Genomic DNA, 13,951 nt, shown 5'->3' with positions numbered 1-13,951 from the left:
GATAAAGACTAAAATATTGTAATAGCTTTATTATTAGTGAAGTTGGAATGGGGAAATCAGTATAGACAACAAACACAACTTAAACTTTCTATTTTTTTCTGCAGCTACCCACTTTCTTTTCACACAAAACAGAACTTGGTTCCCACACGTAAGGGAAGTTGGGACTGTAGAGTCTCTTCGGGAACGATGTGGTACCCACTGCCAGCCAGCTTCTAAGCTTGCCAGGTCAGAAAATAAAATGACAAGAAGGAAGCAATCTTTCAGATTGTTTTGACAGGCAGATTCTGGGCTGAGACACAACTATGTTTACTCTGTGGGGGTAAAGAGCTCACTGTCTGTCTATTCATCAATGTGGCAGGAAATATACAGAAGATTGAGTCAATTGAGCTAAATTTGCACCATTTTTTATATTTTTAAATATATATATACCCAATGTTACCAATTTTATAACTAACTCTTCTCTAGAGGACAGATAGTAGAGCAGAATACAGAGATTCATTGAGTAAACTAAAATATCCTTTAACAGAAATATAAGGAATGAAGCACTGCCATCCTTTCCTTAAAACCTTGTTTATCATTTAGTTCCCGTTACTCTATAACTAAAGTTTTCACATCATTTGATATAGACTTCTATATTCTGTATTTTTTAACGAGGGGATACATTCATATAAATTTTACATAATCTTATAAGTGTCTTATTGTTCCTATTGTGTTGTTAAATGCCTATGAAACTATAGGCAAATTATCAATGAGTATTATACAAGCAGCTTAATTCTCCATTTTGGGAGAATAGATCAATCCAATGGAAAACTCTATTCTTATTTTCAGACTTAATCGAGTTCTTCACATATTGCTTTGCCCCAGCATGTATTAAGTACTTTATCTTATTCAGAAATCATCTCTAGACAGAAATTAGCATTTAGAAACTAGGAAGACATCTCTCTCAGCAGAGTAAGGGACAACCCTTTATTGTAATGTTGAATGCTTCTTTCAGAGCAAAATAATATATGTCCATCAGAGCCTATTGAAAAGAAATTATTTAAATTCCTTGAGAAATAAACTCTGTGGAATGAGTTTCAGTTGTATCTCTCTAATACATCTTAATAGAAAGCATTTTAAATCTCATTTCTTCATCATGTATATTTTCATCAGTGTCTTTTATGTGCCAGGAAAATGAAGAAAAATGTATACAGTCACCCTTCAGTATTCACAGGGTATTGCTTCAAATACCAAAATCCACAGATGCTCAAGTCTTATAAAATGGCATAGTATTTGCATATAACTTATGCATAACCTCCAGTATATTTTAAATCATCTCTATATTACTTATACCTAATACGATGTAAAATCTATATAAGGACCTCTTCAAGGAAAACTACAAACCACTCTTCAAGGAAATAAGAGAGAACACAAACAAATGGAAAAACATTCCATGCTCATGGAAAGGAAGAATCAATATCGTAAAAATGGGTACTGCCCAAAGTAATATATAGATTCAATGGTATCCCTATCAAGCTACCACTGACTTTCTTCACAGAATTAGAAAAAAAAAACTACTTTAAATTTCATATGTAACCAAAAAAGAGCTCATATAGCCAAGACAACCCTAAGCAAAAAGAACAAAGCTGGAGGCATCACGCTGCCTGACTTCAAACTATACTACAAGGCTACAGTAACCAAAACAGCATGGTCCTGGTACCAATACAGACATATAGACCAATGGAACAGAACAGATGCCTCAGAAATAACGCCACACATCTACAACAATCTAATCTTTGACAAACCTGACAAAAATAAGCAATGGGGAAAGAATCCCCTGTTTAATACATGGTGTTGGGAAAATTGGCTAGCCATATGCAGAAAACTGAAACTGGACCCTTTCCTTATACCTTATACAAAAATTAACTCAAGATAGATTAAAGGCTTAAACATAAGACCTAAAACCATAAAAACCCTAGAAGAAAACCTAGGCAATGACATTCAGAACATAGGCATGGGCAAAGACTTCATGACTAAAACACCAAAAGCAGTGGCAACAAAAGCCAAAATTGACAAATGGGATCTACTTAAGCTAAAGAGCTTCTGCACAGCAGAAAGAAACTATCATCAGAGTGAACAGGCAACCTACAGAATGGGAGAAAATTTTTGCAATCTATCCACCTGACAAAGGGCTAATATTCAGAATCTACAAGGAACTTAAACAAATTTACAAGAAAGAAAAGAAAACCCCATCAAAAAGTGGGCGAATGATATGAACACACACTTCTCAAAAGAAAACATTTATGCAGCCAAAAAACATGAAAAAAATCTCATCATCACTGGTCATTAGAGAAACACAAATCAAAACTACAATAAGATACCATCTCACACCAGTTAGAATGGTGATCATTAAAAAGACAGGAAACAACAAAAGACAGATGCTGGAAAGGTTGTGGAGAAATAGGAACGCTTTTACACTGTTGGTGGGAGTGTAAATTAGTTCAACCATTGTGGAAGACGGTGTGGTGATTCCTCAAGAATCTAGAACCAGAAATACCATTTGACCCAGCAATCCCATTACCCAAAGGATTATAAATCATTCTACTATAAAGACACATGCACACGTATGTTTATTGCAGCACTATTCATAGTAGCAAAGACTTGGAAGCAACCCAAATGCCCATCAATTATAGACTGGATTAAGAAAATGTGGCACATATACACCATGGAATACTATGCAGCCACAGAAGGGGATGAGTTCATGTCCTTTTCAGGGACAGGCATGAAGCTGGAAACCATCATTCTCAGCAAACTAACACCGGAACAGAAAACCAGACACCACATGTTCTCACTCGTAAGTGGGAGCTGTACAATGAGAACACATGGACACAGGGAGGGAAACATCACACACCATAGCCTGTCGGCGGAGTTTGGGGCTAGGGGAGGGATAGCATTAAGAGAAAAACCTAATGTAGATGATGGGTTGATGAGTGCAGCTATGGTGGTTTCACCATAGCACGTGTATACCTATGTAACAAACCTGCACGTTCTGCACATGTATCCCAGAACTTAAAGTATAATTTTAAAAAAGAAAGATAAAAAAATGCATCAGCATACTGTTCAAGTATGCTGAATTCTGTATTTTTTTCCTTTTAATCAAATTCATCTTTTCTGTCAGTTGGACTTTCAGGGACTTTTAGTGACTTCTGGGAAATACTAGTGCTAAGACAGAGTTACAGTATTACAACAAGCTTCAGGAAACATTAAAAGTAAAAATATTTTTAAAAATTCATTAAAAGCTATTTAAATAGTTGTTGTACTGTATTGTTTTAAGAGTAATGACGAGAAACAATAGTCCGTACATGTTTAGTACAGGAGCAACCATCCATTTTTTAAATATATTTTTGACCCATTGTTGGTTGAATCCACAGATGCAGAAGCCAGAGCCTTGGAAAAACATATATACTATAGGTGAAAAAGATATAAAACACAAAATTGCAGCACACACTATCACTGCAGCAGTAAAGATTTGTGCAAGGTGTAGAATCCTAACAGTGTAAGCACCTACAACTTCCTGGAGAAATCCAAAAAAGCTTCAAAGAGCCTATTTTAGTACAGACAAAGGATTAAGAGGTATTTTACTCTGCAAATGTTGGGAGACAACCAGATGGGTAGGGAAAACATTAACAGAAAAATAGATGGTACCTACATAGTTATATGCTTATATATTCAAATCTCCATTGCATACACATTTATTCCTTCGATGAAGACTTATTCAGTGCCTGTAATATGCCAGAATTTCTAGGTTCTGAGAATACTTTCAGAAAATACAGACAATGTCCTTGCCCTCCAGGTGCACTCTAAAGGTGGAGAAAAAAATAAATAAGTAAACGTTAAAACTCTACTATTACTTCAGGTAATGATCAGTGTATAATGATAAATCATAATAACTGAGTAGAGTGGGGCAATAAAAGAGGGAGAGGTTATGTTAGAACAACTCACTGAAGAGACTTTTATGAGAAAAGAGAAATTAGCAGTAACTGCTAGGTCTTAGCTTGAGAACTGGGTGATATGCTATCACTTACAGAACCTTTAAAAAGGATCAAGGGTGTGTGTGTGTGTATGTGTGTGTGTGTGTGTGTGTGTGTATGGATGGATGAGAAAATATAGAGTTTTATCCTGAACATGCTAAATCTTCTATACATCAGTCTGATCAGTCTGTTTCTTTATGTGAATTTTTGAGTAATCAATTTGTAGATGGTATTAAATCCATAGGACTAGGGGAGATCACCAAATTTTTTAATACAGATATAAAGGGGAACAGGAATAAGACTGAGCATGGAGACTCTCCACTATTGAGGTGTTGAGGAGTGCCCATCCAGGAAAGTACACTGAAGGTGGGTAGCAAGGTAGGAAAAACATTTCAAGATGGTAGTATTCTAAAGGGAAGTTGAAAAAAGTGTCTCTTGAAAAATGAATGATTGACAATGAAAATGCTGAAGAGAGGTTAACTAATGGTTAACTAATATCAGAAATTATTATCTGTTGGGTTTTTCAAGATGAAATTGGCAGATTTGAGCAGAAGATTTGACCAAAGTGATTTATTTATTAGCATTTTATTGGAGTGGCTAAAGGAAAAAGTAAAGTGAAGAAGTAGAACTTGAGTTTTGGCAAATCTTTAAAAAATGTTTTAATGGTGGGGGAGATGTAGAAACAGATTATTGTAAGAACAATAGTCTCCATCTTAAGGATGGAGACAGTAATAAGACCTGGTGTGTCTAGGGCAGCCAAAAAGTCTTCATCACAGACAATGAGAAAGGCTGATGTGAGAGGTTGAAGTAAATAAAAACAATAAGGCAAGAAAAATGAGGTAAGAAGTCACAGTCAGGTATGGCCAGCAGCAGAGATTGAAGTTTTAGTTTGAAAAGAAGTGTTTGAAATCAGGGAGAAAGTTACCAGGGAGTGTCTTTTTTGCCCCACCAATGTATTACCTGTATCTGCCAAATAGTAGATATAAATACCTTTTTGTTGAATGCATGAATGATGAAGTGCACATATTCTGAAAGTAGGAGATTAATGACAGATATTTTAGTAGTATTGGGAAGGTAAGGCAGGATTCCAAGTACTGGCATTCAAGAGGAACTTCAAATGAAACCCCCAAAAGCACACTGATGACAAGTGTCCATTTTTTTGCAATTAAGATAGTCAGTGTTTCTATAAGTAGCAAGTGAATAGACTGCACGTTTTGGGGGCTTTTAATTTATTTTTCTTTCTTTCATTTTTTTTTTTTTGACCAGAAAACCTGTTGTCCAAAATGAAAGTAAAATTTTATGAAGACTATTGGATATGTAAAAGCGATGAAATTTGAGTAGTTCTCTCCTGTGAAGGAAGAGGTCTACAGGGAGCCCTGCCGACGAGTACTTCCCTCTTGCCTACTGAAAATAGTCCCTGACAGGGTCCCAAAACAACACTGAAAATATTTTAAAGCTTTTAAATTATAATGTAATGAAACCATACTTTATGTACAACCTTTCTGAAACACGTATTTCACATCTAGCGGAGCATACTATTTATCTGAGAGAAAATACATTATTAGATATCATAGATCAAGGAAAAGACAAATTTTGAATTTTCATGAATTGTTGATAAAGACCATCTTACTCCAACTTCCACTAAGCAGAGTAAGAATTGTAAAGGATATATTCAATAGATATTAAACATGGCATTTGTAACCAGCTCTGACTCATCTCTTTACCTAATGAAATCTCTCATTGTTCTGAACATATGTGCCCCTTTCTCTGTTCCTTTCTAATAGCGCTTTTCATTTTCTATGTTATATTACTGTTATGTTTGTACTTTTCACACTTTTCTCCCTTTATGAGTGCTGTCTTCTTAAGAGAAGGGACTATAATCCACAGAATAGACTCAATTAGTAATTATTGATTGAATTAGCACACTTTCTAAGCAAGAAGTGTTGGTACAGAGAAACTCCTGATTATGTTATGAATGGAAATTTTCTATGTACCAGATGCTAAGATTATGGACTTTTTATTTAATTAAAAGTATTTTATGTCATATAGTATTATGCGAAATTGGGAGAATATTTATACTCTTTTGATAGCTACAAATATTTTATTAGAAAATTTGAGTGTTTAATAATTGTATAAAATTTGAAAGATCGAAAGCAAAATAAAAAAATTAATCAATGACTCACTAAATTCAAGAATACATGAAGCTTCTTATCAATTTTCTTTAATATAAGTGCAAAAATGTTCTTCATTACAAAGCTAATTGTGTACCATCTTTTCTGCCATCAGTTGTTCACAGTTCATGTTGAAACCATTGAAATATAACAAATTTAGTCTGGTAGGATGGCTCGTAATTACATTTTTAATAAAATGATATTTGTTAGGTAACAGCAGACATTCTTGTTTAGTTTCTGTTATCACAGAAAAAAACTTTTCACTACTTTAACATAAATATGGCTTTGCTATAATTTTAATACCCTTGCTATAATTGTGAATAAAAGAAAGTTCCCTCAGAATTTCCATAGAAAGAAGTTTTCTGAGGGTGTTTATTATGAATTGGTTTATAACTTTGTTTCATATTTTTCTAAACCAATGGAAATAATCAATTTTTTTCTCCTTTATGATGTAAATGTGTATTGCATTGATTGATATTTAACATAGAACCTGCCTTAAATCCGTGTAATAATTTCAATTTTTCTGTGATGTACTATTATTTTTATACATTCCAGATTAATTCTGTTGACTTTGACTTTTTAAAAAGGTTTTACATCTATGTTTATAAGTACGAACAACCTACAATTTTCCATTCTCCTAAAATTCTTGTTAGGTTATTGTTATCAAGGTTATACCTAGCTCACAGAGTATGTTTGGGGATACATTTTTTTTTTGTTCTTTACTCTAGAAGACTTTGTATAATTTGTCTTCCTTAAATATTGGTATAATTCACTGGTATAGACATCCAGGTATAGAGTTTTCTTTTTTTTTTATTTTTTATTATACTTTAAGTTTTAGGGTACATGTGCACATTGTGCAGGTTAGTTACATATATATACATGTGCTATGCTGGTGAGCTGCACCCACTAACTCGTCATCTAGCATTAGGTATATCTCCCAATGCTATCCCTCCCCCCTCCCCCACCTCACAACAGTCCCCAGAGTGTGATATTCCCCTTCCTGTGTCCATGTGATCTTATTGTTCAATTCCCACCTATGAGTGACAATATGCGGTGTTTGGTTTTTTGTTCTTGCTATAGTTTACTGAGAATGATGATTTTCAGTTTCATCCATGTCCCCACAAAGGACATGAACTCATCATTTTTTATGGCTGCATACTATTCCATGGTGTATATGTGCCACATTTTCTTAATCCAGTCTGTCATTGTTGGACATTTGGGTTGGTTCCAAGTCTTTGCTATTGTGAATAATGCCGCAATAAACATACGTGTGCATGTGTCTTTATAGCAGCATGATTTATAGTCCTTCGGGTATATACCCAGTAATGGGATGGCTGGGTCAAATGGTATTTCTAATTCTAGATCCCTGAGGAATTGCCACACTGACTTCCACAATGGTTGAACTAGTTTACAGTCCCACCAACAGTGTAAAAGTGTTCCTATTTCTCCACATCCTCTCCAGCACCTGTTGTTTCCTGACTTTTTAATGATTGCCATTCTAACTGGTGTGAGATGATATCTCATTGTGGTTTTGATTTGCATTTCTCTGATGGCCAGTGATGGTGAGCATTTTTTCATGGGTTTTTTGGCTGCACAAATGTCTTCTTTTGAGAAGTGTTTGTTCATGTCCTTTGCCCACTTTTTGATGGGGTTGTTTGTTTTTTTCTTGTAAATTTGTTTGAGTTCATTGTAGATTCTGGATATTAGCCCTTTGTCAGATGAGTAGGTTGCGAAAATTTTCTCCCATTTTCTGGGTTGCCTGTTCACTCTGATGGTAGTTTCTTTTGCTGTGCAGAAGCTCTTGAGTTTAATTAGATCCCATTTGTCAATTTTGGCTTTTGTTGCTGTTGCTTTTGGTGTTTTAGACATGAAGTCCTTGCCCATGCCTATTTCTTGAATGGTAATGCCTAGGTTTTCTTCTAGGGTTTTTATGGTTTTAGGTCTAACGTTTAAGTCTTTAATCCATCTTGAATTGATTTTTGTATAAGGTGTAAGGAAGGGATCCAGTTTCGCTTTCTACATATGGCTAGCCAGTTTTCCCAGCACCATTTATTAAATAGGGAATCCTTTCCCCATTGCTTGTTTTTCTCAGGTTTGTCAAAGATCAGATAGCTGTAGATATGCGGCGTTATTTCTGAGGGCTCTGTTCTGTTCCATTGATCTATATCTCTGTTTTGGTACCAGTACCATGCTGTATTGGTTACTGTAGCCTTGTAGTATAGTTTGAAGTCAGGTAGTGTGATGCCTCCAGCTTTGTTCTTTTGACTTAGGATTGACTTGGCGATGCAGGCTCTTTTTTGGTTCTATATGAACTTTAAAGTAGCTTTTTCCAATTCTGTGAAGAAAGGCATTGGTAGTTTGATGGGGATGGCATTGAATCTGTAAATTACCTTGGGCAGTACGGCCATTTTCACGATATTGATTCTTCCTACCCATGAGCATGGAATGTTCTTCCATTTCTTTGTATCCTCTTTTATTTCCTTGAGCAGTGGTTTGTAGTTCTCCTTGAAGAGGTCCTTCACATCTCTTGTAAGTTGGATTCCTAGGTATTTTATTCTTTTTGAAGCAACTGTGAATGGGAGTTCACTCATGATTTGGCTCTCTGTCTGTTGTTGGTGTATAAGAATGCTTGTGATTTTTGTACATTGATTTTGTATCCTGAGACTTTGCTGAAGTTGCTTATAAGCTGAAGGAGATTTTGGGCTGAGACAATGGGGTTTTCTAGATATACAATCATGTCATCTGCAAACGGGGACAATTTGATTTCCTCTTTTCCTAATTGAATACCCTTTATTTCCTTCTCCTGCCTAATTGCCCTGACCAGAACTTCCAACACTATGTTGAATAGGAGTGGTGAGAGATGGCATCCCTGTCTTGTGCCAGTTTTCAAAGGGAATGCTTCCAGTTTTTGCCCATTCAGTATGATATTGGCTGTGGGTTTGTCATAGATAGCTCTTATTATTTTGAAATACATCCCATCAATACCTAATTTATTGAGAGTTTTTAGCATGAAGGGTTGTTGAATTTTGTCAAAGGCTTTTTCTGCATCTATTGAGATAATCATGTGGTTTTTGTCTTTGGCTCTGTTTATATGCTGGATTACATTTATTGATTTGCATATATTGAACCAGCCTTGCATCCCAGGGATAAAGCCCACTTGATCATGGTGGATAAGCTTTTTGATGTGCTGCTGGATTCGTTTTGCCAGTATTTTATTGAGGATTTTTGCACCAATGTTCATCAAGGATATTGGTCTAATATTCTCTTTTTTGGTTGTGTCTCTGCCCAGCTTTGGTATCAGAATGATGCTGGCCTCATAAAATGAGTTAGGGAGGATTCCCTCTTTTTCTATTGATTGGAATAGTTTCAGAAGGAATGGTACCAGTTCCTCTTTGTACCTCTGGTAGAATTCGGCTGTGAATCCATCTGGTCCTGGACTCTTTTTGGTTGGTAAACTATTGATTATTGCCACAATTTCAGATCCTGTTATTGGTCTATTCAGAGATTCAATTTCTTCCTGGTTTAGTCTTGGGAGAGTGTATGTGTCAAGGAATTTATCCATTTCTTCTAGATTTTCTAGTTTATTTGCGTAGAGGTGTTTGTAGTATTCTCTGATGGTAGTTTGTATTTCTGTGGGATCGGTGGTGATATCCCCTTTATCATTTTTTATTGCGTCTATTTGATTCTTCTCTCTTTTTTTCTTTATTAGTCTTGCTAGCGGTCTATCAATTTTGTTGATCCTTTCAAACAACCAGCTCCTGGATTCATTAATTTTTTGAAGGGTTTTTTGTGTCTCTATTTCCTTCAGTTCTGCTCTGATTTTAGTTATTTCTTGCCTTCTGCTAGCTTTTGAATGTGTTTGCTCTTGCTTTTCTAGTTCTTTTAATTGTGATGTTAGGTTGTCAATTTTGGATCTTTCCTGCTTTCTCCTGTGGGCATTTAGTGCTATAAATTTCCCTCTACACTGCTTTGAATGCGTCCCAGAGATTCTGGTATGTTCTGTCTTTGTTCTCGTTGGTTTCAAAGAACATCTTTATTTCTGCCTTCATTTCATTATGTACCCAGTAGTCATTCAGGAGCAGGTTGTTCACTTTCCATGAAGTTGAGCGGTTTTGAGTGAGATTCTTAATCCTGAGTTCTAGTTTGATTGCACTGTGGTCTGAGAGATAGTTTGTTATAATCTCTGTTCTTTTACATTTGCTGAGGAGAGCTTTACTTCCAAGTATGTGGTCAATTTTGGAATAGGTGTGGTGTGGTGCTGAAAAAAAGGTATATTCTGTTGATTTGGGGTGGAGAGTTCTGTAGATGTCTATTAGGTCCGCTTGGTGCAGAGCTGAGTTCAATTCCTGGGTATCCTAGTTGACTTTCTGTCTCGTTGATCTGTCTAATGTTGACAGTGGGGTGTTAAAGTCTCCCATTATTAATGTGTGGGAGTCTAAGTCTCTTTGTAGGTCACTCAGGACTTGCTTTATGAATCTGGGTGCTCCTGTATTGGATGCATATATATTTAGGATAGTTAGCTCTTCTTGTTGAATTGATCCCTTTACCATTATGTAATGGCCTTGTCTCTTTTGATCTTTGTTGGTTTAAAGTCTGTTTTATCAGAGACTAGGATTGCAACCCCTGCCTTTTTTTGTTTTCCATTTGCTTGGTAGATCTTCCTCCATCCTTTTATTTTGAGCCTATGTGTGTCTCTGCACGTGAGATGGGTTTCCTGAATACAGCACACTGATGGGTCTTGACTCTTTATCCAATTTGCCAGTCTGTGTCTTTTAATTGGAGCATTTAGTCCATTTACATTTAAAGTTAATATTGTTATGTGTGAATTTGATCCTGTCATTATGATGTTAGCTGGTTATTTTGCTCGTTAGTTGATGCAGTTTCTTCCTAGTCTCGATGGTCTTTACATTTTGGCATGATTTTGCAGCGGCTGGTACGGGTTGTTCCTTTCCATGTTTAGCACTTCCTTCCGGAGCTCTTTTAGGGCAGGCCTGGTGGTGACAAAATCTCTCAGCATTTGCTTGTCTGTAAAGTATTTTATTTCTCCTTCGCTTACGAAGCTTAGTTTGGCTGGATATGAAATTCTGGGTTGAAAATTCTTTTCTTTAAGAATGTTGGCCAGGCGCTGTGGCTCACACCTGTAATCCCAGCACTTTGGGAGGCCGAGGCGGGCGGATCACGAGGTCAGGAGATCGAGACCATCCCGGCTAAAACGGTGAAACCCCGTCTCTACTAAAAATACAAAAAATTAGCCAGGCGTAGTGGCGGGTGCCTGTAGTCCCAGCTACTTGGGAGGCTGAGGCAGGAGAATGGCGTGAACCTGGGAGGCGGAGCTTGCAGTGAGCCGAGATCCCGCCTGGGCGACACTCCAGCCTGGGCGACAGAGCGAGACTCCGTCTCAAAAAAAAAAAAAAAGAATGTTGAATATTGGTCCCCACTCTCTTCTGGCTTGTAGGGTTTCTGCTGAGAGATATGCTGTTAGTCTGATGGTCTTCCCTTTGAGGGTAACCTGACCTTTCTCTCTGGCTGCCCTTAACATTTTTTCCTTCATTTCAACTGTAGTGAATCTGACAATTATGTGTCTTGGAGTTGCTCTTCTCGAGGAGTATCTTTGTGGCGTTCTCTGTATTTCCTGAATCTGAACGTTGGCCTGCCTTGCTAGATTGGGGAAGTTCTCCTGGCTAATATCCTGCAGAGTGTTTTCCAACTTGGTTCCATTCTCCCCATCACTTTCAGGTACACCAATCAGAGGTAGATTTGGTCTTTTCACATAGTCCCATATTTTTTGGAGGCTTTGCTCATTTCTTTTTATTCTTTTTTCTCTAAACTTCCCATCTCGCTTCATTTCATTCATTTCATCTTCCATTGCTGATACCCTTTCTTCCAGTTGATCGCATCAGCTCCTGAGGCTTCTGCATTCTTCACGTAGTTCTCAAGCTTTGGTTTTCAGCTCCATCAGCTCCTTTAAGCACTTCTCTGTATTGGTTATTCTAGTTATACATTCTTCTAAATTTTTTTCAAAGTTTTCAACTTCTTTGCCTTTGGTTTGAATGTCCTCCCATAGCTCAGAGTAATTTGATCGTCTGAAGCCTTCTTCTCTTAGCTCGTCAAAGTCATTCTCCATCCAGCTTTGTTCTGTTGCTGGTGAGGAACTGCGTTCCTTTGGAGGAGGAGAGGCACTCTGCTTTTTAGAGTTTCCAGTTTTTCTGTTCTGTTTTTTCCCTATCTTTGTGGTTTTATCTACTTTTGGTCTTTGATGATGGTGATGTACAGATGGGTTTTTGGTGTGGATGTTCTTTCTGTTTGTTAGTTTTCCTTCTAACAGACAGGACCCTCAGCTGCAGGTCTGTTGGAATACCCTGCCGTGTGAGATGTCAGTGTGCCCCTGCTAGGGGGTGCCTCCCAGTTAGGCTGCTCGGGGGTCAGGGGTCAGGGAACCACTTGAGGAGGCAGTCTGCCCGTTCTCAGATCTCCAGCTGTGTGCTGGGAGAACCACTGCTGTCTTCAAAGCTGTCAGACAGGGACATTTAAGTCTGCAGAGGTTACTGCTGTCTTTTTGTTTGTCTGTGCCCTGCCCCCAGAGGTGGAGCCTACAGAGGCAGGCAGGCCTCCTTGAGCTGTGGTGGGCTCCACCCAGTTGGAGCTTCCTGGCTGCTTTGTTTACCTTAGCAAGCCTGGGCAATGGCGGGCGCCCCTCCCCCAGCCTCGCTGCCGCCTTGCAGTTTGATCTCAGACTGCTGTGCTAGCAATCAGCAAGACTCCGTGGGCGTAGGACCCTCCAAGCCAGGTGCGATATAATGTCGTGGTGCGCCGTTTTTTAAGCTGGTTGGAAAAGCGCAGTATTCGCGTGGGAGTGACCCGATTTTCCAGGTGCGTCCGTCACCCCTTTCTTTGACTAGGAAAGGGAACTCCCTGACCCCTTGCACTTCCCAAGTGAGGCAATGCCTCGCCCTGCTTCGGCTCGCGCACGGTGCGCGCACCCACTGACCTGTGCCCACTGTCTGGCACTTCCTAGTGAGATGAACCCGGTACCTCAGATTGAAATGCAGAAATCACCCGTCTTCTGCGTCGCTCACGCTGGGAGCTGTAGACCGGAGCTGTTCCTATTCGGCCATCTTGGCTCCTCCCTCAGGTATAGAGTTTTCTTAATGAAAATATTTTGATTGTAGATTCAAAGTTGGTTCTTTGGAACAAAGACTAATAAAATTGATTAATTGCTGGCAAGACCCCAGTGGTCTCTTTTTATTAGTTTTGCTTCTTTTATTACTCATTTATATTGCCTTGACTCTTCATGTGACTGCATTTTTGTTGTTTGTTTGCTTATTTGCTAGTCATTATAAATGCAAAATCATGTTAAAAAATAGTTCGTCAGCTAAGATTATGTTGTCTTTCTCAAAAACTGGTTTGTTTGTGATGCTTATTGGTATTTGGAATCAAGAATAACTTAAATACAGTATCAGGGACTAAGATGACTGAAAGCCAAGTTGCTGTCTTTCTTAAGGGTTATTTTTAGTATTGCATTAATATTATTTTGTTTGTTCCCAAATATATTCAAAAATACAATCTTTATGTATATATATAGCTTTTCCAGTTTTTCTCAGTGGGACATTTGGTCTGCTGTTACTGGAAGTAAAGGACTGTTTTACTTCCAGTAAAACAGTAAAGGATGTATGTACCTATGTTATATAAAACATATATAGTATAGACAGAAAGTATAAATTAATATATATATAAATTATCATAAATGTGTACAGTTTTAGCAAGGGTTTC

At 37.6% G+C, this 13,951-nt stretch overlaps 1 annotated feature.

The window, feature by feature from the left end:
• Positions 12,431-13,039: an enhancer, noted in NCBI's record as "H3K27ac-H3K4me1 hESC enhancer chr1:73364724-73365332 (GRCh37/hg19 assembly coordinates)". NCBI's record gives its function as "activates a minimal SCP1, AML or CMV promoter by ChIP-STARR-seq in naive H9 embryonic stem cells {active_cell/tissue: H9 hESC(naive)}" and the evidence as "EXISTENCE:reporter gene assay evidence [ECO:0000049][PMID:30033119]".

This window comes from Homo sapiens, chromosome 1, assembly GCF_000001405.40.
Source record: "Homo sapiens chromosome 1, GRCh38.p14 Primary Assembly".
Taxonomy (NCBI): Eukaryota; Metazoa; Chordata; class Mammalia; order Primates; family Hominidae; genus Homo; species Homo sapiens.
The sequence above is the reverse complement of the archived record's forward strand: the minus strand, read 5'-3'. Positions and strand labels throughout refer to the sequence as shown.